The following is a 27540-nucleotide window of genomic DNA, read 5'->3' as shown; positions in this document are numbered from 1 at the left end:
ACATTCCAGAAAGTGAGAACAACAACAAAAAAAATGGTGGTGAGGTATATATATGTGTGTGTGTGTGTGTGTGTGTGTGTGTGTGTGTGTGTATGTGTGATTGTGTGTATATGTATGTATGTATGTATGTGTGTGTGTGTGTGTGTGTGTTAGTCCTCTGGACTAGGGCCATAAGCCTTCAAATTAAAATGGCTCAATAAATCTCAGCAAAGTGCAGAGAAGTAACAGACACATTTGAATATTATGATCATGATACCACAGATAAAGAGTAGATAAGAACTCACAGAAAATACAGGTCATATATAAAGCCAAGGGAATCATAAAGGCATCAGATTTATCAACAATGCTGGATGCTAGATGACAGTGGGCAATATCTTCAAACATTCTGAGGTAGAATGATTTCCAACCTAGAATTCTATGTCCAGCCATACTATCAATATAGTATGTGGTATGATAAAGACACTGTCAGTTATGCAAGGACCAAAACACAATAACAACAGCAACCTACTTCTGTTTAACTTTTCTATAGAAATTGCCAAAGATTATACTTCACCAAAAAGAAGGTATAAGTCAGAAAGTCCAGGGGTTCCAGAAATAGATCAACTCAGGGGAGCAGTGGAGAGAAGTTCCAGGATGACAGATATGCAGCAGACCTAAGAAACGGAAGGACCAAGAACTCTCGGAGAAATGTCTTCAGTAAAAAAATGGTGGTAAGATAGTTCACCCAATACATTTCATTATGTTGAAAACCTACATTATGAGACTATAGATATGGGAAGAATTTGTGAAACACACATAGAAAACCAGGCAAATAAAAACACAATATAATTGTTAACTCCAGGAAAGACAAAAGTTGTATGAGAAAGTAATCATACTCAATATACTACTTGGTTCAGTAGAAGTCAGAATAATGTAAATTCTGATTACTGATTGGTATAGATTGGTGTGTTTTTCCATTCTCACACTGCTATGAAGAAATACCCACGACTGGGGAATTTATAAAGGAAAGAGGTTTAATTGACTGACTCACAGTTCCACATTGCTGGGAAAGCCTCAGGAAGCTTACAATCATGATTGAAGGCAAAGGAGAAGCAGGCACCTTCTTCACAGGGCATCAGGACGGAGTGAGTGCAAGCAGGGCAAATGCCCGATGCTTATAAAACCATCAGATCTCATGAGAACTCACTCACTGTCATGAGAACAGCATGGGGGAAACTACCCCCAGGATGCAATTACCTCCACCTGTTCCCGCCTTTGACATGTGGGGATTATGGGGATTACAATTTGAGGCAAGATATGGGTGGGGACACAGAGTCAAACCATATCAATTGGTTTCATGTTGAAATTTGACCCCCAGTGTCGGAGGTGGGGCCTAATGGGAAATATTTGGGTCATGGAGGTAGATCTATCATGAATAGATTAATGCTCTCCCTGCAGTGGTAGAAAATGAGTGAGTTCTCACTTTATTTGTTCCGATAAGAGCTGGTTGTTAAAAAGAACCTGGCATCTCCCTCCTCTCTATTTCTCTCTCTCTCTCTTTATTTTATTTTATTTTTTTGATACAGGGTCTCATTCTGTTGCCCAGGCTGGAGTGCAGTGATGCGATCTTGGATCATTGCAACCTCTGCCCCCTGGGTTCAAGTGATGCTCCCACCTAAGCTTCCCGAGTAGCTGGGATTATAGGCACCTGCCACCATGCCTGGATAATTCTGTATTTTTAGTAGAGACGGGGTTTCACCATGCTGACCAGGCTGGCCTTCAACTCCTGAAGTGATCCACCTGCCTTCCTCCCAGAGTGCTGGGATTACAGGTGTGAGCCACCATGCCCAGGCCTAGTGTATTTGATTTTTAGGACTATGGACATGTTACTTTGATTTTCAATATTGACTATAAAAGGTAAAATGTATTCTGAAGCTATGAACTAACTTTTACGTGCTATCCATTGTGCCACAGAGCCAGTTTTGTTTGATAACTAAAGAGTTGTCTTAGAAGTCTTTGGGTATGCTGCTGACATGGTGTGTGGAGCATGTGCCAACAAAAAAGTTACCTCATTTTATCTTAGAGAAGAAATGGCTCAGCTAAGGCAAAAGATCAGTTTCTTTGTAAGAAAACATGGGAACCTCCACTGAGCTCTGCAAATACAATTTCTATATTAAGATCACTCTGTCTTCTACAATACATAAATTATTCAATTTCATATAGAACCGGTGGGGGGAAGACAACTCATATCACCAACTGTTCTCTATTTTAATCAATTTAGATGCAAAAAGAGTCATGCTCAGCTGTAGGAGACGCAATTAATGAAATGTACTAAGTAAGTGTGAGCTAAATGGAAAGGAAAAAAAATATGGATTCTTAAAATAATGATGTTTTTCTCTAGATCTGAAAATGAGTCCACAGATGTTTTATTATGCTTGAAAAAAAATCTTAATCCCTTTTTTTATTGCACTAAGCAAAGGCCATGTGAAATCGATAGCCTGGGATTTTCCATATAAGCATTCACAATACACCTCAGTGACAGCATTCTGTGTTCTGAGTTTCGGCCACACTACAAACATTTAATCACACTGCAGTACTCTTCCTATGTAAATGTTTACATTGATATGATTTTTATTATTTTTATTTGTAATTTCAATCTCTCTATAAATATACTTAAAATCATACTGCAAATGTCCCAGCTTCAGACATGTTTTCTTTCACCACTGATAAAGAAAGCTTTGCTGGCTTTCCCTTTACCAACCAATGTATATCATGCCTTAGAAAAATCCATAACATAACCAGAAAGAAAATCTAACGGGGCCTCATTTACCTTGCTGCCAAGACATTTCATGGCATTTCTGCATTTTACTAATGATATTCACTTATTCCTTGACTTTAGGCCTTTCAAAAATATCGTTAAATGTCTCATCACTACTTTACTTCCTTTTTTTTTTTTTTTTGCCCTTTTCTCCATGGATAATTCTCCCTTTGTCTTTTTTCTGATCCTTTTGTGAAAAAAAAAATCACTTAAAGCAAATCACAATTGGGTACAATCTTAAAAGGCCAAGTTAATTACGATAGGAAAAGTGGAATGTTAGCTGGCTTTAAAAGCAAAATGAAACACAAATGCATCGCCTTTAACTGTGTTAGTTCTTCCATCTAAACTGATCGAATGTCCCTGTCTTAGCAAACGCAGTAAATAATTCTGATGAAGTCTGGCCAGCATTTGTAGTTGCTCTAGCTTTTATCTCTTGATTACAGTCACTGTAGGATGAGCAGTGTGAAATCCCTCACTCGTGTCACCTTTCATTATAAATCAAGTAAGCACAGGCCACACTTTTGATTGGCTATGATATACTTCATAAAGGAAGCTTCAGTTTTTCACTGAAGTCTGCACCAGAGGGAGGCAGGGGAAAATGAGCAAATCAATAACCTTTTCCCTAAAATGAAACCATGATTTATAATGCTCTTGCAAAGGGCCAGAATGCTTGTTTTTAAGGACGGTGGCAGTGATTCTGTGGGCAACCAGGAGAAACAGAAGGCTGAAATCAGGTTGTTATGATGAAGTGGAATAATATATCAGAATAAAACTTCATCCCTTTGGATTCCTCCAATTCTGGAATCACAGTACCAAAGACATAAAGCATTTGATTCTTACTGAGTAAAAACTCCGGAAAACTTTCCTCTAAGAAAACTTGCCAGATCTTTTGTATAAGATCATTGAAAGAACACCTGGAATATGTTACACTGAGTTTGATAAAATGGACATGTTATTTATAAATCGTGCTTTAGAATTTGAGTGATAATTTTTTTCAGAAACATGCACAGACTGATATAATAGTGACCCTATTGCTCAGTGTGAACTGATACACTTAATTTGTTGCAGCAAAAAGAGAAAATATTAAATTGCTGTGTGAGGCAGTTCTAGGAACATGTCATAGGTGTTTCTGAATTACTAGTTCCTTCACATTTAAATATTTATTGAATAACACACCATATCATATACTATAAACTGATATGCTCAAATACATTATGGCTTATAAAAATCCATGACATATTAAGCAAATAACATTTGTTTAAAATAATTATATACATAGAAGTCTCCCTAAAAGAGCTTGTCCCTCCATGTTGTGAATTAATGCAATTTCATTGTTATGACATAAAAAATATTTCAATAAAAAACTTCCCAAGACTAGAAGAAATAAAATCAGCCATGAGCTCAGAGACACAACCAAAAAAGAGAATTTTAGACCAATATCCTTGATGAACATTGATGCAAAAATCCTCAATAAAATACTGGCAAAACGAATGCAACAGCACATCAAAAAGCTTATCCACCATGATCAAGTGGGCTTCATCCCTGGGATGCAAGGCTGGTTCAATATACGCAAATCAATAAATGTAATCCAGCATATAAACAGAGCCAAAGACAAAAACCACATGATTATCTCAACAGATGCAGAAGAGGCCTTTGACAAAATTCAACAACCCTTCATGCTAAAAACTCTCAATAAATTAGGTATTGATGGGACATATTTCAAAATAATAAGAGCTATCTATGACAAACCCACAGCAAATATCATACTGAATGGGCAAAAACTGGAAGCATTCCCTTTGAAAACTGGCACAAGACAGGGATGCCCTCTCTCACCACTCCTATTCAACATAGTGTTGGAAGTTCTGGCCAGGGCAATTAGGCAGGAGAAGGAAATAAAGGGTATTCAATTAGGAAAAGAGGAAGTCAAATTGTCCCTGTTTGCAGACGACGTGATTGTATATCTAGAAAACCCCATTGTCTCAGCCCAAAATCTCCTTAAGCTGATAAGCAACTTCAGCAAAGTCTCAGGATACAAAATCAATGTACAAAAATCACAAGCATTCTTATACACCAACAACAGACAAACAGAGAGCCAAATCATGAGTGAACTCCCATTCACAATTGCTTCAAAGAGAATAAAATACCTAGGAATCCAACTTACAAGGGATGTGAAGGACCTCTTCAAGGAGAACTACAAACCACTGCTCAACAAAATAAAAGAGGATACAAACAAATGGAAGAACATTCCATGCTCATGGGTAGGAAGAATCAATATCGTGAAAAAGGCCATACTGCCCAAGGTAATTTACAGATTCAATGCCATCCCCATCAAGCTACCAATGACTTTCTTCACAGAATTGGAAAAAACTACTTGAAAGTTCATATGGAACCAAAAAAGAGCCCGCATCGCCAAGTCAATCCTAATCCAAAAGAACAAAGCTGGAGGCATCACAATACCTGACTTCAAACTATGCTACAAGGCTACAGTAACCAAAACAGCATGGTACTGGTACCAAAACAGAGATATAGATCAATGGAACAGAACAGAGCCCTCAGAAATAATGCCGCATATCTACAACTATCTGATCTTTGACAAACCTGAGAAAAACAAGCAATGGGGAAAGGATTCCCTATTTAATAAATGGTGCTGGGAAAACTGGCTAGCCATATGTAGAAAGCTGAAACTGGATCCCTTCCTTACACCTTATACAAAAACCAATTCAAGATGGATTAAACACTTACACATTAGACCTAAAACCATAAAAACCCTAGAAGAAAACCTAGGCATTACCATTCAGGACATAGGCATGGGCAAGGACTTCATGTCTAAAACACCAAAAGCAATGGCAACAAAAGCCAAAATTGACAAATGGGATCTAATTAAACTAAAGAGCTTCTGCACAGCAAAAGAAACTACCATCAGAGTGAACAGGCAACCTACAAAATGAGAGAAAATTTTCGCAACCTACTCATCTGACAAAGGGCTAATATCCAGAATCTACAATGAACTCCAACAAATTTACAAGAAAAAAACAAACAACCCCATCAAAAAGTGGGCAAAGGACATGAACAGACACTTCTCAAAAGAAGACATTTATGCAGCCAAAAAACACATGAAAAAATGCTCACCATCACTGGCCATCAGAGAAATGCAAATCAAAACCACAATGAGATACCAACTCACACCAGTTAGAATGGCAATCATTAAAAAGTGAGGAAACAACAGGTGCTGGAGAGGATGTGGAGAAATAGGAACACTTTTACACTGTTGGTGGGACTGTAAACTAGTTCAACCATTGTGGAAGTCGGTGTGACGATTCCTCAGGGATCTAGAACTGGAAATACCATTTGACTCAGCCATCCCATTACTTGGTATATACCCAAAGGATTATAAATCATGCTGCTATAAAGACACATGCACACGTATGTTTATTGCGGCATTATTCACAATAGCAAAGACTTGGAACCAACCCAAATGTCCAACAGTGATAGACTGGATTAAGAAAATGTGGCACATATACACCATGGAATACTATGCAGCCATAAAAAATGATGAGTTCATGTCCTTTGTAGGGACATGGATGAAATTGGAAATCATCGTTCTCAGTAAACTATCACAAGAACAAAACACCAAACACCGCATATTCTCACTCATAGGTGGGAATTGAACAATGAGATCACATGGACACAGGAAGGGGAATATCACACTCTGGGGACTGTGGTGGAGTGGGGGGAGCGGGGAGGGATAGCATTGGGAGATATACCTAATGCTAGATGACGAGTTAGTGGGTGCGGCGCACCAGCATGGCACATGTATACGTATGTAACTAACCTGCACAATGTGCACATGTACCCTAAAACTTAAAGTATAATAAAAAAAAATAAATAAATAAAATCAGCCATGAGCTGCAGCAAGCCTCAGTACATTAACTCCTGGATCTTTTCATAAATTGACAAATAATAACTGTATATATTAATATATTTATGGGGTACAGTGTGATATTGTAACATATGTTTACATTGTGAAATGATTAAATCAAACTAACTAATAAATCCATCATTTCACATACTTATTAAAAGGTAAAAAATTTCAGTAGGACATGAAGAATAAACTTTAGTGATCTATTGCACAGAATGGTAACTGTAACACTTAGGTCTTTGAAGGCCAAAGAAAAACAACTGAACTGACGAGGGGGTGTTTTGTAACCTTGGAAAATGACTGTGGCTATACTGTATTCACAGGCACCAATTAACCCTGCAGGTTCCTGCACTGGGCAGAGAAATTTCATTCAGAGAGTTCCTAATCCATTCTTTGGCTTTTGCAAATTACTTACACAGGAACTCAGGATGTTATGTTAGAATTAAATAAACATTTTCTAGTTAATGTGTGTCAGGACTGAGGCTTCGAGAACCCAAGGGTGCAAAGGTGTAAGTAAGAAAATATAGCCTCTGATTCATAGTCCAGGACTATGTTATTCCTTTTCTTTTCTTACTTTCTTGCCTTTCTTTCTTTTCTTTTCTTTTTTTTTCTTCTGAGACAGAGTCTTGCTCTGTCACCCAGGCTGCAGTGCAGTGGTGCAATCTTGGCTCACTGCAACCTCTGCTTCCTGGGTTCAAGCCATTCTCCTGTCTCAGCCTCCCAAGTAGCTGGGATTACAGGTGCCCGCCATCACGCCCAGATAATTTTTGTAATTTTAGTAGAGATGGTTTCACCATGTTGGCCAGGCTGGTCTCGAACTCCTGGACTCAAGTGATCCACCCGCCTTGGCCTCCCAAAGTGCTTGGATCACCACGCCCAGCCATGCTATGTTATTTGTTCTTCATAAATCTTATGCTTAGACAATATTGCCTACATGAATAATTAAAATGAACTCCAATGAAACTCTTGACATTTTATTTTCTTTTCAACCTTAGGTGCAGAGAACTGAATTCATTACCCTCCCCATGACCATATCATGGTACCACATCATTGATGCTGTTGATACAGCATTGTGCAAATAATTGCATTGTTAATTATCCCTTTTATGAACATTCTTCACTCTCATTCTCTTCCATGACTGCCATCATAGCCAATGTGTTTTAATTGTGGATTTGAATGTGAGTAAATCCTTGCAAGATAAATTTGTGTCTTTTCATTTACATAATGACAACACGATATAGTCCTCACATTTGTCTTCCTTTACACTCAGCTGCTTTTATGATGTATCAAATTACCATGATTGTTTCTAATTGATGCAAAGTACTGCCCTGCCTTGTGCATACCCATTCCCGTAGTGATGGACAGACAGATTCTCTAACTCTCTCCTTTCACAAACAACATGTTGTGAACATCCTTACTCATGACTTACATGTGAATTTCTCCGGGCATATACCAGAGATGGGGGTATGCTTGATTGGTGTGTATATATTTACATATTTTGACAAGCATCATTGATTGTTCTCCAGAATGACTGCACCAGCATACAATATCTCATGTACTTCAGAATTTTAGTTCAAGCTTCCTCTCCCCAACCTCTTCACCCTCCCCATCACTCTTCTTTCTCAGTTATTGAGGTCCAGCCTCAGCATGACTTTGAGAAAGAGGGAGGGCTTTCGCCCTTGTTATGCAAGCCCCCCAGGGGATAAGGGCATTGTCCACATATATGTCCTCTCTCTCCTCTGCTGGGTGCCATCTTGCCCTGTCTAAACAGGAAATGGTAGGGGCTAACTACACTTTAGCTTTGGAATTTGGAGACTCAGACTTCATCAGAAAGTGACAAAGAACTTATGTACAGGTGAGCATGAAGGTGGGAAAGTCTTAAAGGAGTGAGGGTCAGCTGACATGGCTCCTAGTAACTAACCCCACTGAAGGACTTGCTCCAAGTCCAAATGGAAAGAAGAGGGCCAACAGCTTGGGCTGCCTGCCTGGAAGGAATAGTTCATCGCATCCATTTTACTACCCTCCTACCCATTTCTAATTGTCCAGCCTGAAGGAAGGAAGCAATGTGAAACCTGAGAGCAAATCCTATCTGTCCAGAGATCCTCAAGCTCTGAAGCAACCAACAGCACTGCAAAGTTGGATGGGGGTAGGAAGAACTCTGAATGGCCACATGGCCGTCCCGCACCAGGGTGAGGATCCTCAGCCTGGCAGACATAGGCAGCAGAGTGGGGAGGATGGAGGATGGGTGTTGGTGGGGTTTCCACTTTCACCCAAAGTTTATGCAAATATTTCTAGAAATTTCCCTGCTTTCTCAGCTGGGCCATTTGGAGGACACGTTTTGTGGGCAGGGGAGGAGGGGAAAAGGCATTGCCCTTGAACTTGAGGAATGTTTGACAGAAAGCTGGGCATGGGCCACAGTGAGTACCTGTGGCTTCTTGGGTGTCAGCCCAATGGAATGGAAAACCACATAGTAAAGCCACTAAGGTTGTGGTATCTGGAGGCATGGCATGGCCCTGAATCCTAGCTCCTCCACCTTACTAGCTGGGTGACCTAGGGCAAGCCATTTAACTTCCCGGCCTCAGTTTCCTCACCTGTAAAACATAGATAATATTAATGCGTACTTCATAGAAGAGTTGTAAAAATTAAAGAATATACCTTCACTTCTTGGAATGAAGTATGATACATAATAAATGCTCAATAAACATTAGTACAGGATGCTACTGACACCAAAGTTTTTATTCAAGGGGTGAGTGAGGGGTGTTTCTCCCCTACTCTCACCTCTCAGTTCCTCTTGTTTTCCCTGGGGGAGTGACCTCAGTCTCAAACATAAAACCGTGGCAGTCTGGAGGGCAGACTTACGGTTTCCTTGCCTTAATTTTCTAGCTGCTCCGTTACGGGTTTTTCCATCCTCCCCACCCTCCTGCTGAGCCTTCCTGAAGTGCATCATCAGGCAGCTTGCCCCGCTACCTGTGACAGTCAGATTTCTGATTTTCTGAAGCCTCTCCACTGTGTGATTCCTCTGTGAGTTACAGACCAACTCTGGGGTCACCACAGCCTGTCTTCTGCCCTGTCGCACTTCAACCATACAGCTCAGCCCTGTTCAAACCATTATCATGCTGACAGGCTTTTCTTTGAGAAACGCCCAGGTGAATCTGATTTGGCTGGAGTCGACGCTTAATAGCAGGGAAATTCTCCCTGATGGTGCAGTACTTAATGAATGCCTGACATGTTCAATAAATGCAAAAGTCTGGATCCCTTGAGCAGCCTGCAAAGGCCACTGATACAATGCCTTAGAAAAAAATGTGAGTCACAGGCTAGAAAAAAAGAGAGAGAAAGAGAGAGAGAGAGAGAGATAGAGAGAAAGAACCCCAGAAGCCTGAGAACCATTTCAATTACAATAATCTTGCAGTAGCTTAGCAATGATAAAACCTCGGGTGGTGGGAGAACTATTTGCGATTCTGCTGGCCCGCGTGTAAGCTCCTGCAGAGGTCTCAGCTAAGTGAGCCGCGATGGGACAAGATGAATGCCTCCCCTTCAAGCCCATCAGCTAGGGCCACCACCAGCGTGGTAACCCATTCTGGAAATGGCAGTTCACAAAGGAAAAAACAGCCCCACAGCACAAGCTTATTTAATAAAACTGATCAGAACTAGATGGAACTGTCTCAACCAGATGTGTGGAGGGGACTGACACCCCTGAGTAGCCTGTTTATTACAGGGCTCTGTGACTCAAGTCAGCAAAACACTCACCGTGGGCTTATCTGGCTCATGCATTGTGTTCAGTGCCACGGAGGTTATAAAGATAACTAAGACTTCAGCTCTGGCCTCAAAGAGTCCAGAAATTGCCTAGAGTTCTGAAGAAACATATTTATTATTTTATTGCAATTATAAAGACAATTCTGTAAGATAGAGATGTGTATCAGGCACAAGGAGAGGGTGGTAGGATGCCCTAGGAAGGCACTGGGTTACTGGTGCCTCCAGAACCCCCTTTGAGCCAGACAGGGGGGAAATGCCCCTTCTACAGCTTTTCTTTCTCTATGTTTGTGGAACCCCACCCTCGGTCCACTACAAGACAGAAACCATACCCTGGCTTGGAGTATCCTCGAGCACAGACCACATATGGCAGAGGGAAGGTGCTCCTGCAAGGAGCTGGCCCAGCTGCTTGTTCACTATGGGGTCTTCTGCCTGGCCAGCCCCTGTGCAGTACAGGCCGTCATGCAGTTTGGCTTTTATCTTATCTGCATCATGAGATAATGTTTCTGAAAATCTTCACAAATCACCAAGGGTACTTCTCATGTAAGGTGTCATCGCCTGCCAATCAGATGTTTGGTGTCTTTCCATCCCTCCCGGAAGGCCCCTGAGGTCCTTCCTTTCCTTGAGCAGGCCCTTTCTGTCATCACTTCCAATCTCTGTCTGAAACCAAGCTCTTTCTCTCTCTGGTCCCTGGAACTCTTTTCCTGTGGGGCCCGCTTAACTTCCTTTGGTTTAAGGACACAACTGCTTGCCAGACACAGCCAGTGATCATGGGCATCCCACCTGCCTTTCTCCTAATTCTGAGAATCTTCCCCTATTCAGGCTCCCAGAGAGACACATCTTTCTCCATCAGCACAGGCCCATCACCCGTGTCTTCCTCTCCTGGCCAGTGCAGCTCTCCTTAACATTGGGACACATCTGACATCTGACCTGCACGTGTGTTCTGTTAGGCCTATACCTTGCTTTGAAACTTCCTGAATTAGCTGCCAACATTTAAACATTGGAGGATTATGGGAAAGTGACTTTAGAAATAGTTTAGTAGTTTCTCATCAAGCTAAACATGTACTTACCAAATGGACATCTTTGGGAGACCATTATTCTACTTACCACATGTGTAAATTGTATCTCTATAAGAATACATAAGAATTAGACCATTAAAAATGGGAGAGATTTCATATAAATATCCAGAATTTTGCCTTTTTTTTGGAAATCAGATCTGGCCAAACTGGGCTTTAATATCTGTATGGCTGGAATCTGCTGCAGCTCAGTAGCTGCTAATCCTCTATAGAGGGTGTGGGCTTTCTCATTTGCTTCTGTTCCCTTTTCTGCCAGCTTCATTTATTCATGCCACCTGCTTGGTTCCTAGGATATTTAAGTTGCCCATCTCAGTCTTAAATTGTCAAGCCAAGACCCCTGGGACTCTTCCCAACTCATTTTCCTTCTGCCCCACTGCTCCCCAGCCATCCACCTAACTGCTCAGGCTAATGTATACCCTCCACCTAACTAGGAAGACCAGTGTAGGTTAAAGAACAGAGTGGAATTCAAAGTGGCCCCAGCAAGGCTGAACTCCCAGATCCATTAGAGTATTTGAGGAAGCGGTTCGTTGAACTCATAAGCTGAAACAGGCAAGATGAGAAGCAAGGATTTTCATCTTCAGGACTCTTTGCTCTTACCCCAGACCAGAGATTTCTTCGCAGTCCAACCTTAGCCTAGAAGCACCTCTGGCTTCCAGCATGGGGCCAGGCACAGACGGATGCCCAATGAGCATTTGCCAAACCCAAAATGTAGTGTTATACTCTCATCAAGTAATTTAAATGAAGGCTCAATCCCAGTTTGTTTAGCTGTAATGGAGGCAAAGCCATTGAATCCACTTCTTTGTTGGATACTTTAGACAGAGAAAATATATTTGCTCCATGGCCCTCAACCAGTTGCCTAACCCATGCTGGTTATCTCATTAAGATGTGCTACTAATCATTGGAAAGACTGGGCACGGAATACATAAATGGCTTAAATGGCTCATCTCTTCGGCTACCACTAGATTACACAAGAGCAATTTTTTTTGTTTGATTAAGATCTACAGTAACCACTTCACTCTGTTCTAACCCATACTGTTTCCTTTCATCACAGTCTGCCTCCTTTGATTTCACCAGATCTCAAGGCTGACCACTGCCATCTCCTGCCACCCAGTTCTCAGGCTCATTGTTTTCCAACCTCTTTGCAAGTATCCTGTCCAAGCCCCAAGTAACTCCCTTTTGTCTTATACATTCCATGGTGTGACAGACAGCACAGCTGAAGAGCTCCTTGAGGGCTGAGCATGGGAATGAGGAAGAAGTGGATCATGCAATTTAATTTATCCTCAAGTGGAAGCATGCCTCAGTGTTACATAAAAGATCAGAAACCTCCCAAAGAAGAAGCCCCTTCCATCATTGAGAAGGATCCCTAGGAATTACTTCACTGCATAATTAGATTCCCTGTCAAGCTTTCAACATCACACTCTGTCGTATTTAGCAATCTATTTTTCTAATGCTCTACTCTAGGCAGTTGATTGTAAATCTCAGGAAATTAGTCACATAGGAAACATCAGTGTGGCCCAGTGGTGCTGAATGGCCACACTGGCTAAGATGCCATACCCAGTGTCCCCTTGGATTCTCTTGAGACCTTCTCAAAGCAACTCAGGGCAAATATAAACTTGATTTTGACAGAGACAGCTGAATAAAATAGAAACACAAAATCAGCCCATAAGAGAATAGGGAACTGGTAGGTAATTTAACATCAATGCCTCTGATGGTAGGTTATGTAAAAAAATAAAGTTTGGCTTAGTCCTTGCAAATGAAAGAATACTGTGCTTGTGAAGAACAGATGGGTAGCTCTACAATTTTTTACCTTAACAACCTGGGCAAATTAAGGGAGTACTCCTTCTGGGGACCCCACTCTAGATATGGAAGAAAAAGGATTTTGAGGTTATTCAACTTGTACCCTAAGATATGAGGGAAGCATTCTCTCCCTTTCCACAAAATTGTAAGTATCTCTTGTCCTGTAAGTCACTTAATATTATTCATGGAAATCTGGGGAACAATTACAACACTCAAACAAGGAATATTTTAGAAAATGATGGCGATTTTTATGTCCCTACAGGTGAAAGTTAATTTAGAAACACAGCGGTGAGTTACTAAGACTTGCTAATGGTGTTAATTGTAAGCCTTTGATAAAGGATCTAATTAGGTTAATGATAAATTCAGCCCAGCAAGGGTATTTTCAGAACAGTTATTTTCAAAGAAATACACACATACACACACATACATATTTTGTCTAGTGCAGAATATAAAAATGTGCAGGAAAATGAGATGGGGCGTTCTTATGGAATCATAATGATAGCACAAGACCTTATTTTAGAGAGAAAAGATATCCGTGTTTCAAGTTAGGTTTGCAGTAGGTAGCTAACAATAAAACAGCAGGAAAAAAACCCCCAAAAAATCCCAGTGCCTTCAAAGGGTGGAGCCCTTCTAGTAGCTAGAGGGCCCTTTGTTTGCTAAGATCATAATGGGTGGTTTTATGGACTGAATTATGTCTCTCAGATTCATTGTGGAAGCTCTAACCCCCAATATGCCTGAAAGTGATAGGGTCTTTGGGAGGTAATTAAGGTTAAATGAGCTCATAAGGGTGGGACCCTAGTCTGACAGGACTGTGGCCTTATAAAAACAGAAGAGAGAGATGCCCATCCCCCCACCACTTCCCCATCCCCACCACGTACAGACACAGCAAGAAGGTGGCCAGAAGCCAACTCAGCCGACATGTTAATCTTGAACTTCAAGCATCCAGAACTGTGAGAAATAAATTTCTGCTGTTTAAGCCACCCAGTCTGTGGTATCTTGTTATGGCAGCCTGAGCAGATTAAGACAGGTATGCAAGTTTGGAGCCAGAAGCTGGAAGAGCTTGATTTCTCTGAGTAATAAGGGGTTGGGGGTGACAGTGGAGTTGATTCCTGGAGGAAGAGAGGAGCTAGAGAAGTTGCATGCTGTGTTGGGAGGAGAAGAGAGAAGTTATGTTGTCTTTGAGGGAAACACAAGTATCAAATCAGGATTTATCAAATGTGGGTTATAAAGCATGTGATGTAAAAAACCTCTTCAGTCTCTTATGAAATCTTTATATACATATACATATATATATATATATATATATATATATATATATATATATATATATATATATGTATGTATGTATATAAAGAGACAGGGTCTTGCTCTGTCACCCAGGCTGGAGTGCAGTGGCCTGACCATGACTCATTGTAACCTCAAACTCCTAGGCTCAAGCAATCCTCCAGCTTCAGCTTCCCAAATAGCTAGGAGCACAGGTGTGTGCCACCATGCCCAGCTAATTTTTAAAATTTTTATAGAATATATGTTGCCCAGGCTGGTCTCCAACTCCTGGCCTCAAGCAATCCTCCCACCTCAGCCTAAGATAATTTTTAAAACAACAAAAAATTCTGCATGCAACTGGTTTTTCTCATGGCAAATGATGAAGGCTTAGGTCTCTGAATGCTTGGCAAGGGGCTGTGAGAGCATCGCCTGGACAGACAAGGGGTAGCTGGCATCTGGGCCACACATGCACACTGTAGAGGCAGTTGAAATACCCCAGACACCATTCCAACTCTGTGTTGCTCTCTGGAGAAGTTTCTTAGCTTCTTCATGTACAGAGAACATTTTGAAGAAACAAGGATCAAATGATTGCTTCTAATGTCTAATCTTCCATTATCTGTGTCAATCTGGGGAATGACCAAATTTCTATGCAACAGGATCTCTATTCAAAAAAGGGTAGTAATAGTTACTGTTGTTTTTCCCCCCAAAATTGTTAGAATAAATAGATAATATATGTAAGACTGCCCTCTTGAAAGGTATTACTCATTTGTTTTCTACTTTTTATTTTGAATTAATTATAGATTCACAGAAGATTGCAAAGATAGTACAGAGAGATCCCATGTACACTTCATCCAGTTTCCCTCAATGGTTAATCTTACATAACTATAGACAACATCGAAAGCATGGAACTGACATTAGTGCAATGTGTGTATATAGTTCTGTTTTATTTTATCACATGTGTAGATTCACATAACCATATTGAAAACCAAGACACTCAACTATGACGTCAACGCAAAGTTCTCCCAGATGCAACTCCTTTATAGTCATACACCCCCCACCCCCCAATCATCCCAAACCTCTGCCAATAATTAACATGTTCTCCCACCTCTATATTTGTCATTTCTAGAATGTTACATAAATGCCTTTTGAGATTGGCCTTTTCACTCTGCAAAATGCTGTTGAGGTCCATACATGCTGTTATAGCAATCACTTCTTTCCTATTGCTGAGTAGCATTTTATAGTATTGCAGGACATTTTGGTTATTTTCAGCTTTTGGGTGTTACAAATAAAGTTGTATGGATAACCATGCATACGCTTTTGTGTGGATACAAGTTTTTATTTCTCTGGGATAAACACCCAGGAGTGATATGTTAGGTGTATGTTTGGTTTTTAAAGAAACTGTCAAACCACTTTCCAGAGTGTCCATAACTATCTTTCATTTCCACAAGCAATGCATGAGAGATGCTGTTTCTCTGTATCCTTTCCAGCATTTGATATTGCCATTAATTTTTTATACTAATTTTTTAATACTATAAAATGTATTCACGATTTATTCACAATTTGTTTTCAGGACAAACCCCAACATCAACAGCTCATGGAGTAGGCATCTATATCTACAATAAGTAAAACCAATGTTACTACTTTTATTTACCATAGGTATGGGTGCCTTTGTCTCTTCTGTATGTCAAGGTCTCCAGGATTTGAGGGGGATCTAGTCTGCTGGTAAGGCTCAGATTCACATTTGGTTTGGGGAAGACCCAGGATCTAGCCAACTGTGATCTGAGTACCAGGGAAGTCTAATCCACTCTGAAATGCTAAAGAGGAGTCACACTGGCTTGAGGGTCTCGAGACCCCTGTATCTACATTCTCTGAAACCAAATAGAAAGGCCACAGCAGCCCAAACTATGCCTACCTTCAAATGGGCCCAGATTCTCCTCCTAACACACATTAGTGTGTACTCAGCACTTATCTGAATGAGGGCACTGGGGTGACTTGTCCACAACGTCATGCTTGGGTAATTATGATTTACTAACAGCAGGCGGCACCCCTAAGGATTGCATCTTGCAAAGACAGCGACTCCCCATGACTTTGGAAGAAAATCTAACAATATTAAAAGCCCCTTGGGGCACTAAAACTGAAGTTGTGTAATTTGGGCCAATTTTTGTTAAACTGTAAGTGTTTTCTTTGGGTCTGAGTGCTGAAATTTTGAGTTTGCTGAAAGGCCATGTAAGCCATCTAAGGAAGGATTCCTTTGTCTTCTGCTGTTTTCTGAGCCTGTTTCTCCAGCCTTCCTGACCATTCCCTGAGCTATCCAATAGCCTTTCAAGAAATTCCTGTTGAGTTAGCCAGAGTTGCTTTCTGTTTCTGGCATCCAAAAATGGATGGAAGGGCCACACTTAAACATTAGATTATCAAATGCAGGAACATTCCTAAAAGATTTTCCAGAGTAAGAATGAAATGGTGCAGCAGAGATGGCCAGTTGCCTCCCTGTGTCCACTCTACACTGATTTGTATTCTCCCTGCTGCCGGGAATAAACAGCTACTCTACATTTCCAAGACTTTCTTTGTCTTGAAATTCTGGCCAATGAGATTCAAGTGGATTTGTGTGGGACTTCCAGGAAGATTCTTTCTGGGAGTACAGACATATCCTTATGAATCCTTCCCACTTTGTGCTGCCTAGAATTCCAACCCTACAGTTGGAACATGCTACGAATGGAGGAGCAGTAAGAAAAAAGGAATTGGGGCCTTTGATGATGACCGCTGAGCTACTACACCAGCCCCGGACTGCCTCTATCCAGACTGCTTTCATGTGATATAAAACAAACTTATATCTTGCTTATACCTTTGTTAATTTGGCTTTTCCTTTCTATCTAGTCAATTCTTTTTTTTTTTTTTTTTTTAAGACAGTGTCCCTTCCCGGGAAGTTCAAGCAATTCTGGTGCCTTGGCCTCACAAGTAGCTGGAATTATAGGCACCTGACACCATGCCCAGCTAATTTTTGTATTTTTAGTAGAGATGGGGTTTTGCCATGTTGCCCAGGCTGGCCTCGAACTCCTGAGCTCAAGTGATCCACCCACCTTGGCCTCCCAAAGTGCTGGGATTACAGGCATGAGCCACTGCACCCGGCTGTCAATTCTAATTTTTAACTAAAGTGAAGAAATGGATTCTGGAGAGAATCTGGGGTCCAGTGGTTTCCTAGGATTGAGAAGAATGCACCAGTTGATTTCCAGCTTCTACACTTGTATCTACTTCAAAATTGTGGTAGCTACTAGCCCTGTCACTAGATGTTGTTACTTAGTATGCTAATATATTTTGATAATACTATTTTGAAACAATTGATTTCATTTATAATCCTATTTATTTCGCTTTATGTATATAAAAACATTATTTTGGGAAGAGGTCTGTGGGCTTCACCCACTTACCAGAGGGACATATGGTCACAAACCCCGGGTTGACAGGGTCACCTGCAGTGCTATCAGCATAGGAACATGCAGTTCTTCACATGAGCACCAGAGCAGGAAATCGCCATATTTTAAAGCCCATTTCCCCATTTTAAGATCAGGTGCCTAAGATAACCTACCTGGTACAATGCCTGGGACACAGAAAGCTCTCAGTAAATGCCTGACATCACTTCCTTTTCTGGTGAGCTTGAATGGAAGAGTTCAGACTTCAATTCCACAATAATTGGCTTAATTCACAGTAGGGGAGGCAGCTCCTCTGAGTTCACTATACATACCTCAAAGGTCAGCGTGAGAATGTTGAAAAGTGTTTCCCAGATCTGGCCAGAACTCTCAATCTCTCAAGAAAGTAAATAGACGTCTTTTGGGTCTGTGGGGACGATCTGCATCCTAGCTGATAGATGCCTTCCCTACAGGCTCCATATTACCCCTACTAAACAAAGAGGATGGGGAGAGAGACAAGAGGCTGGGCTGGGAGACCTGGCTTGTGGCCATGTTTCAGCACGTGAGACTTTCCAAACACTTGCTTCTGGGTGCCATGAACAATGAAACAGATGCATTCAAAGAAATGGCCATGCACTTAAACACATGATAATTTTTTTAAAATTTCACATCTACTTTTTAAGCCCTTAAAGACTATATCATCAATGTTTATTTGACTGATGCATCTTATTATTGCATGGGGAAAAGTGAACCATCACTGAAGGAAATCGGAAGCCAAGGGTTCTTTCGTTGAGATAAAATATAAGATTGATCGTAAAATTAACAAATTAAATTAACAAATTAAGAAATAATACTGGTATAAGTCAATGTACCAAATCACTTCCCTCTGTCACGTCTTACTCTGCCTCTTGAGCATAAAATCATCAGGGCTGTAACACTCAGTGAAATATGGCAAGGATGAGAGGACAGGGCTCTGGGCCACCTGTCACCTGCCTGTCCTGGCTGGGCTGCTGAGAGGAACCCCAGTTATCATGTGAGGCCTGCCCTGACACCCTAGAGTAGTGGGCACAGGACACTTTGGCATGCCTTACAAGTTCTGTTCCTGTACTTCTAATCTTTCTTATCCATCTCCACAACTTCAAATGACAGGTGAACCATTGAGAAAACATGGTTAGGAAAAGGTAAATACAATCTTTTAAATATTCCTCTTTTTAATTCTTCCTCCCTGACCCAAACTTCAGTCCCAAATATGAAAATACGAGACTACACTTAATGAACATTTGTGCCAGGCACTGTGTCAGGCACTTTTTGTATGCCATCCTTTAATACAGCAATTGTATTATTTTATTTTATTTTACTTTGAGTTCTGGGATATGTGTGTGGAATGTACAGGTTTGTTATATAGTTATACATATGCCATGGTGATTTGCTGCACCTATCAACCCATCATCTAGGTTTAAAGCCCCACATGCATTAGGTCCTAATGCTCTCCCTCCCCTTGCCTCCCTCAACCAACAGGCCTTGGTGTATGATGTTCCCCTCCCTGTGTCCATGTGTTCTCATTGTTCAACTCCCACTTATGAGTGAGAACATGTGGTATTTGGTTTTCTGTTCCTGTGTTAGTATGCTGAGAATGATGGTTTCTAGCTTCATCCATGCCCCTGCAAAGGACATGAGCTCATTATTTTTTATGGCTGCATAGTATTCCATGTTGTATATATGCCACATTTTCTTTATCTAGTCTACCATTGATGGGCATTTGGGTGTGTTCCAAGTCTTTGCTATTATAAATAGTGCTGCAATAAACATACATGTGCATGTGTCTTTATGGTAGAATGATTTATAATCCTTTGGGTATATACCCAGTAATGTGATCGTACAGCAATTGTATTAGGTCATACTATTATTATCCCTGTTTTATAGATGAGGAAACAGAGGACCAGAGAGCCTAGGTTACTGTCCTAAAGATGACAAAGCTAGAGAGGGCAGAGGTGGCTTGGAAGTAGGGCCTTCCCTCTAAGCCCATGCTGTTAACAATTGCACTGACTGCCTGTCTCCAGGATCTCTGACATCTTGGTGCTGCGATAGAGCTTGGCTCTGGTGCTGCCCATATAACCCGCAGAATCAGCTGGTAGTTGATGCTCACAGGTTAGAGTTGTCAGACTCTCGTTATTTCTATCTGGGAACGATAGCACCATGGCCTTGAAAATGGGTCTTTATATAGTACATGCCCCTTGAATATTAAATTACCCAACAGAAAAATGGAGGATTCTGATTTATTGGGTAAAAAGTCATCAAGATTTTACAGTATTGTTTTAATACCTTGGTTCTCTTTTATCTTAGCTTCTATCCTTTTTTTTTTCTTTTCTCTGACTTCTCTAATCTCAAACTTTAGGCAGGGTTTATGCTTTTTAGTTCCTTCTCCCTCTTTTTTCATGTAGCTCACATTTGGGCTGCTCTGGCAATCTGGGTATCCCATGTAGGATGACCTGATAGCAACAAGAGCTACCATTTTTGAGCATCAAATACACACTGGGTATTCTAACGAGATTATTTTGCTTAATCCTTACTACAATGCTGACTAGGAGAGTGGGCTGGATCAGACTGAAAAGCTTTGACAGAGCTCACAGAAGTAGCAGGTCTGAGACTCAAAATACCTCTCACTTTATACCTCTTTCCCTTGGCCACAGTGCATTCCTTCTTGTGAACAAGGAAGCTGACTTTCTTCTTCCTTCTTGTTGAATATCTGTCTGGTTGAGGAATCAGGAATCCTTCCCTGCTTCCTTCTTCAATTAGATAGCTATTGCCTCTCCTGCCAGCCAAAGGAAGTAGGGATGTTTTGGTAATTTGGACAACCTTGGGAATATATGTATTTTTAAGCCTGGACATCGCATCATGGCTGGAGACGTAGGGTGGGGTAAGTCTGACGTTTATGGGAGCCCCAAGTTTGACCCTATAACATCTGCAGTGCAGGGCTAGCCAGATAGAGGCCATGGGGCTATTCTGGGGGCTAGATGAGGCCCAGTGTGCTGTGGGCTTTCAGAGCTGTGGCCTTTCGGGCTAAAACAAGAACTTTCCCATTTAGCTAATTGAACACCTTTGCTACACACTGTAATGCACACAGCAGGGGAGAACACCTCATCTGATGCGCACATGAATTTAAAAGGGAAAATGATGACAGAGGGTTTAATGGAGCGGACAGTGCCGCAGTCTAGCAGCAATTCCAAAGCCTGGGCCTAATGAAAGCTCTCAGCCAACATAGAAAGTGCCTGTGATTCAGCTCTCTGTTCCCATTTCCCCTGAGGTACTGGGGCTTCCATTAAATGCTGATGTGTCCTGATTATTACAGAGTGTGGAGAGAGAAAGGAAGGGCAGGAAGGCTGAAAGAGAACCTTTACACCTGACCTATCTGTTCTTGAAGATACTGCTTATTTATTTCTGAACCAGTAGCCAATTCCCACTATGGGTCAGAAGGCCTAGGCTTGAGAACGGGTGTTAGGTCAAGAAGAGCCAAATTTTCTCGAACTCCTGGCTTTAGGCAATTCTCCTGCCTCAGCCTCCCAAAGCACTGGGTTTACAGGTGTGAGGCACTGCACCCGGCCAAGCCAACTCTAAATACCTATTTTCAGCTCTTACAGGCACTGATTTTTGAGGCAAGGGCATTTCCTTCTCAGTTTGTTGCTCTTCCTCCTCCCTTGTTCTAGTGGACTGCTCTTTGCCATGGGGGAGACACAGATGGCCCAGAAGTTCCTGAATGGAGTGGTGGCAGGGAAGGTGCTGGTGTGACCACAGCCAAGCACTCTGCCTCCTAAGGTCTTGTCAGCATTGGGTGAGGTCCATTCATGTTGGGAACCTTCAGATGTTAGCAACCATCTGTCTCCGGGGAAAATTTCAACTCTGATAGCAGTGATATGAAGAGAAAGCACCATCATTATTCCACACTGGTACAAAAGCTAGGTCTCAGCAGGCTGAGTGGACTCCACTGTCCACCAAAAACTCCTGGCCACAGCCCATGTCTTAACTCACTAGCCCTTAGAGCAATCCAATCCCTTATTCCAGTGTCTAACTTCACAAGAATCCTTCCAGATTTCCTTCCAGAATCCTTAGTGACCCACTCAAGGTCTACTTTGCATCAGAGGCTTGTCAGGGGCCAGAATTCCAGTCTCACAGCATCAGGCTCAGGCTTTGTGAACTGACTGCTCTGCCCTAATTACTAAACGGCGACACCCAGAAACAGCGAACACCTTTGTCCACGAGCCTCTGTGTTATTTATCATTTGAAATACACTTGCAATGTGGATGCCAATTATCCATTCCTTCTCTCCAGAGCAAAGCCCATTACTAATATGAGAAGGCTGAGGTCCTGGCTCTGAGTCACTTTATTACACTCCTGTGTTCATTCTCTGCAGGGTGCAAACTCAATGCACAGGGAGTGGTGGGCACTCAAAGGCCTCCTCAGTGAAAGAGGACAGAGCAGCAGGGGCGGACCCGCTCTTGTTTCTGTGGACTGTGGCATCATTTATACAACGCAGATTTCAGAGGAGAGATATAAGCCTTTAGTTTTTTCAGAGGCTTCAGGGAAAGTGGATAGACTTTTAGCCCCTTGTCTATTTTAGGTAAAGTTAAAAGATGCATCACTGAAAAGAAGAGATATCTAGATGTCAAAGTTACTTTTTAAGTGTGATTCTAAACCAGATGGACAGGAAAGTGTTTTTGCGTGGATGAAACCAACAATACGGAAACTCAAACACTGAACAGATCAGGCTCACTGTTCTCCTTATTCTCATTCACATCCCCCCACTCCCACCCAATACATACCATCAAGTTCTAGGGTCCCAGCAGAAAAACAAACTTCTGAGGTCACCCATTGGGCCTTTCATGGACAGGAAGCTGAAGAATCTCAAACCTGGCTGCACATTAGAACCACCCAGAAGCTTTAAAAACTATTGATGTACCTTAACATAATCAAGGCCATCAATGACAAGCTCCCAGCTAACATACTCGATGGTGAAAATCTAAAAGCTTTCCCTCTAAGACTAGGAAGACTCTTGTCATTTCTATTCAGGATAGTACTGAAAGTCCTAGCCAGAGCAATTAGGCAAAAAAAGAAAGAAAGGGAATCAAAATCAGAAAGAAAGAAGTAAAACAAGAGTATGTTTCTGCAGGTGACATGATCTTACATATAGAAAATTCTAAAGATGTCACCAAAAAATGTTAGAATACATGAGTTCAGCAACGTGACAGCATACAAAATCAAGAGACAAAAATTAGTTGTGTTTCTACACAGTAATAATGAAGTATTGGAAAAGAAATTATTGAAACAATCCTACTTACAATAGCATCAAAAAGAATAAACTAGGAATAAATTTAACACAGAAGGTAAAAGATTTGTATGTTGAAAACTATAAAACTCTGATGAAAGAAATGGAAGATGGCAAATAAATGGCAAGATATATTGTATTCATGGATTGAAAGAATTATATTGTCAAAATGTCAATGCTACTCAAACAGATCTACAGAGTCAATGTAATCCCTATCAAAGTTCCAATGTTATTTCTCACAGAAATAGAAGAAACAATCCTAAAATCTGTATGGAACAACAAAAGACCCTGAGTAGCTAAAGTAACCTTGAGCAAGAAGAAGAAAGCTGGAGACTTCCTGATTTCAAATTATATTACAAAGCTATAGTAATTGAAATAGCATAGTACTGGCATAAACACAGATATGTAGACCAACGGAACAGAATAGAGAGCCCAGAAATAAACCCATGCTTATACAGTCAACTGATCTTTGATAAAGGCACCAAGAGTACCCCATAAGGAAAGGATAGTCTCTTCAATAAATGGTGTTGGGAAAGCTGGATATTCATATGCAAAAGAATGAAATTGGAACCTCCTTTTGCACCACAGATAAAAATCAACTTAAAATGGATTAAAGACTTAAATGTAAGTTCAGAACTATAAAACTGTAAAAACAGTAAAGCTTTAAAACTGTATGTGTATACTTATGTACATACATACACACACACATATATGCACATATTGGAATTTTGTTCAGCCTTTAAAAAGAAAGAAATCCTTCCCTTTGTAACAACATGAATGAACCTGGAAGGCATTATGTTAAGTGAAATAGGCCAGACATGAAAAGACAAATATTGCACAAACTCACCGATATGTGAAATCTGAAAAGTTGAACTCATAGAAAGAGAGAGTAGTTAAGAGTGGTTACCAGGAATTGAGGGATGGGGGGAGATGTTGGTCAAAGGGCACAAACTTTTGGTTATAAGATGATAAGTTCTGGAGATCTAATATTCAGCATGGTAACTATAGTTAATAATATTGTACTGTACTGTATACTTGAAACTTGCTGAGAGTAAGTGTTCTCATCATACACACATGAAAGATGTTAATTAGCTCGATTGTGGTAATCATTTCACAATGTACACATATATCAAACCTTCAAGTTGTACATATTAAATGTATATAATTTTTACTTGTCAGTCATACCTCAATAAAGCTGAAAAAAATAAGAATAAAAACTCTCAATGCTGTGTCTCTTGTCCAGAGAATCTGATTTGATTGATGTGGGGTAAATCCAAGCATGAGTGTTTTCAGGGTATGGGGGAGGTGGTAAACTTACTAAAAAGTGTTTGTGAAAAAGTGTAACATTCATATAGTAACATGCACAAATATTAAGCACTCAGTTTAACAAATTTTACAATTCAAAAATTCATTAAAAACCTCCACCCAGCTCAAGATATAGAATGTCATTAGCACTCCAGAAGCCTCAGCACAGGATTTTAAAAATTAAACTTTAAAACAAAAATTAAAACTCTTCAAATTGCAAGAGTACAACAATGACCTCAGCAAAGTTATTTTTAAAGCTTTTCATTTTTAATTTTAATTTGCAGACAGAATTGAATGAAATATATGTTTTTTTTGCCACACTTCTGGCCATGGAAAGCCTTTAGTAAAGCATGGGCATAAGGTTTTCATATTGACATTACTCATTTCGTAACCTGGTCATTATTTCTCAAGGTGTTGTCAACATAAAAGTTGATGTCAGCCTCCGACATTTAATTTTGTTGTGTCGTCATTGTTTTTTGTAACTTTTCATGCATTGTTTATGATTCCCAACTTTCCCTCATTCTAGTTATATATGAATTAATTAGCCCTTGTAGCTATAAACAAGAAGTATCTTAAGTGTACTTTGGAAAAAGGAAAGTGGTGATCATGCTTATTCTTTGTGGGTTGGCCACTGACTGACCGGTGACAAGGCAGGAGAGAAAATCTGGAACCATCCAGAGTTCAAGGGCAGGGATGTGTGAAAGGCAGAGTCAGAGGAACTGAATTCCTAGTGAGAAAAAAAACTAAAAATAAAAACAGTCATGCCCGGGCTTGGTGGACACACGGACACACGTAGGCTGCAGAAGCCAGTGTGAGTTACGTGTTTAAGAAGGCCAGCAGGTGAAATTCTGAGCGATATGATGGGAAGGGAGGACCAGGAAAGAGACAGCCATTAACCAGGGAGACAAGGGGCTCCAGAGAGCAAGCTCAGCGAGAGCCAAGGAGCAAGGCTCTCATCAGAGGCTGAAAAGAGAACAAGGCTGGCCTGAAGGCCGGCTAAGAAGGTATTAAAAAAAAAAAAAGAAAAAGAGAGAGAGAGAGAAAAAAAAGCACTTCAGCTGCTGTATAAATTTGCCAGGTTGAGCCCTCTGTGAGTAGTTGGCAGAGATGATAAGTGGGGCAGCACTTCTGGCTACCTACCTGGAGCAGCCCTTATTTGAATATGCACAAAGAGTATGAATGGATAGACTAGCAGTGGCTCTGGAGCAATGATGGGTAAAGCTGGACTCTGCATTTCCTATTCACCTTCTTAAACATAGTTCCTATAAAGCAATTCCTGAGTGGCTTTTCCACTTGAACCAGTGAGTTGAGTGGGGCATGAGTTAGATGCTGCTCTACCGAGGAAGGTTCTGAGGGTGGCTGAGGTCCTGAGATCTCAAATTAAAAAAAAAAAATCTTGAATTCCTTGGATGGTGGCAGAAGACAAGTCTCATGGTGGATATGGGGACCTGCCTGTATGAGGGCATCTCTGGCCCATAAGTGACCTAAGAGTTTAAAAATGAAAAACCCACCACTTGAGCTTGGCACCCTGAACTCAATGTAAATGTTCAGCAAAGAAGTTCTCTTCAGGCCAAGTAACCAATTCCTTATATCTTGCTTTTGTTGTTGTTAAATACGACTTCAGTTTTCATGTAACTTTTCAGGTTCATCAAAAGAAAGCGTGTGACATGATTTTGTAACTCAGCATGTTAAAACTCAGTTAAAAAAACAAGTTAAAGACATCTAAATACTAAAGTCTATGTCTGATTTTAGCAATGAGTCAATTTCACCAAGGTTGTTCCCTAACAGAACTGTGTTTTATAATGAAATATTACCATGTTCTAAAACAAAAGCAGAGAAATAAAAAATGAGCAAAGAATGAGTTTTTGAAATCTAATTTTTTAGATTAGAGCAGAGAGTGAGTTTCTGAAGTCATGTGGTTTTAATTTATACGGTATTCCTATTTTGCAAACTTTAGCCTGTTTGGGCACATGTGCACGTGTGTGTGCATGTACACACACACACACACACACACACACACACACACACGCAACCAGAACACTTCTCTCCCCTTTCCTGATATATTGAATTTGATTTCTGGATTCAATTGACCTTTCCATGCATTTCACTGCTTATAGATGAAGCAACTTGGAGCTTTTGGCTTCTGAGGGGTATTGCTCAGAAACATGCAACATGTACAGGTTTCTGAGGCAGCAGAAACAGTAAGAGCTTAGGAGAAACTGAGGAGGGGATCTGGGAGTGTGGACAGGTGGAGTCACCTCTAAAGTTCTGCAGTTCAACAGGCCATACAACAGGAGTTTTCCTGCTCCCATTCCAGTTCTGAGTTGCCAGAAGAGGTGGGGCTGATGTGGAGCTGAGCTTTGGACTGAGCCCACAAGAGTTGAGTAAAGGTGCTTCTGTGTGTTTGATATGTATGGCAGTCCCAAGAACAACTATAAGTCATGTTGTCTTATATGCTGCTGCTGATCTGTGTATCCTCCCACCTCTACTTAGGGTAGGAGAGGCAGAGGGGAGAGGAATCCCCAGCATTGATAGCACAGAGGAAACAAATGAAAGAGATTACTTTAAACACAGTAAAATGCAATAGTACACTATGATGCTGTGATTATAATAAGAAACATATGTGTTCGTCGTCATTCATGGTTCCTGACACTTCTATTTCCTGGGAATTTCCTGGGTAATAGGAGCATCTTTTATTCTAACGAGACAACTGTTGGTGGGCTCCTGAGTGGGACTGGTCACCAGAAAGACCAAGCCATGATCATAAGCTTGGAGCTTTCAGCTCCACCCCCATCCTCCAGGAAGGGGAGAGGGGCTGGGGATTGAGTTAATAATCAATCATACCTAATCAATCATGCCTATAGAAACCTCTATAAAAATCCCTGAACTATGGAGTTTGGAGAGCTTTTGGG

The 27540-nt window shown here is 40.9% G+C and overlaps 1 protein-coding gene across 5 annotated transcripts in view; it reads right to left on the bottom strand.

The window, feature by feature from the left end:
- SV2C (synaptic vesicle glycoprotein 2C) overlaps positions 1–27540 on the bottom strand; it is a 506476-nt gene that overhangs the window by 115820 nt on the left and 363116 nt on the right. The gene's annotated exons all lie outside the window — the stretch shown is intronic.

This window comes from Homo sapiens, chromosome 5 (assembly GCF_000001405.40).
Source record: "Homo sapiens chromosome 5, GRCh38.p14 Primary Assembly".
In the NCBI taxonomy this organism is placed as follows: domain Eukaryota; kingdom Metazoa; phylum Chordata; class Mammalia; order Primates; family Hominidae; genus Homo; species Homo sapiens.
Note: the sequence above shows the minus strand (reverse complement) of the source record. Positions and strands in the feature narration are given on the sequence as shown.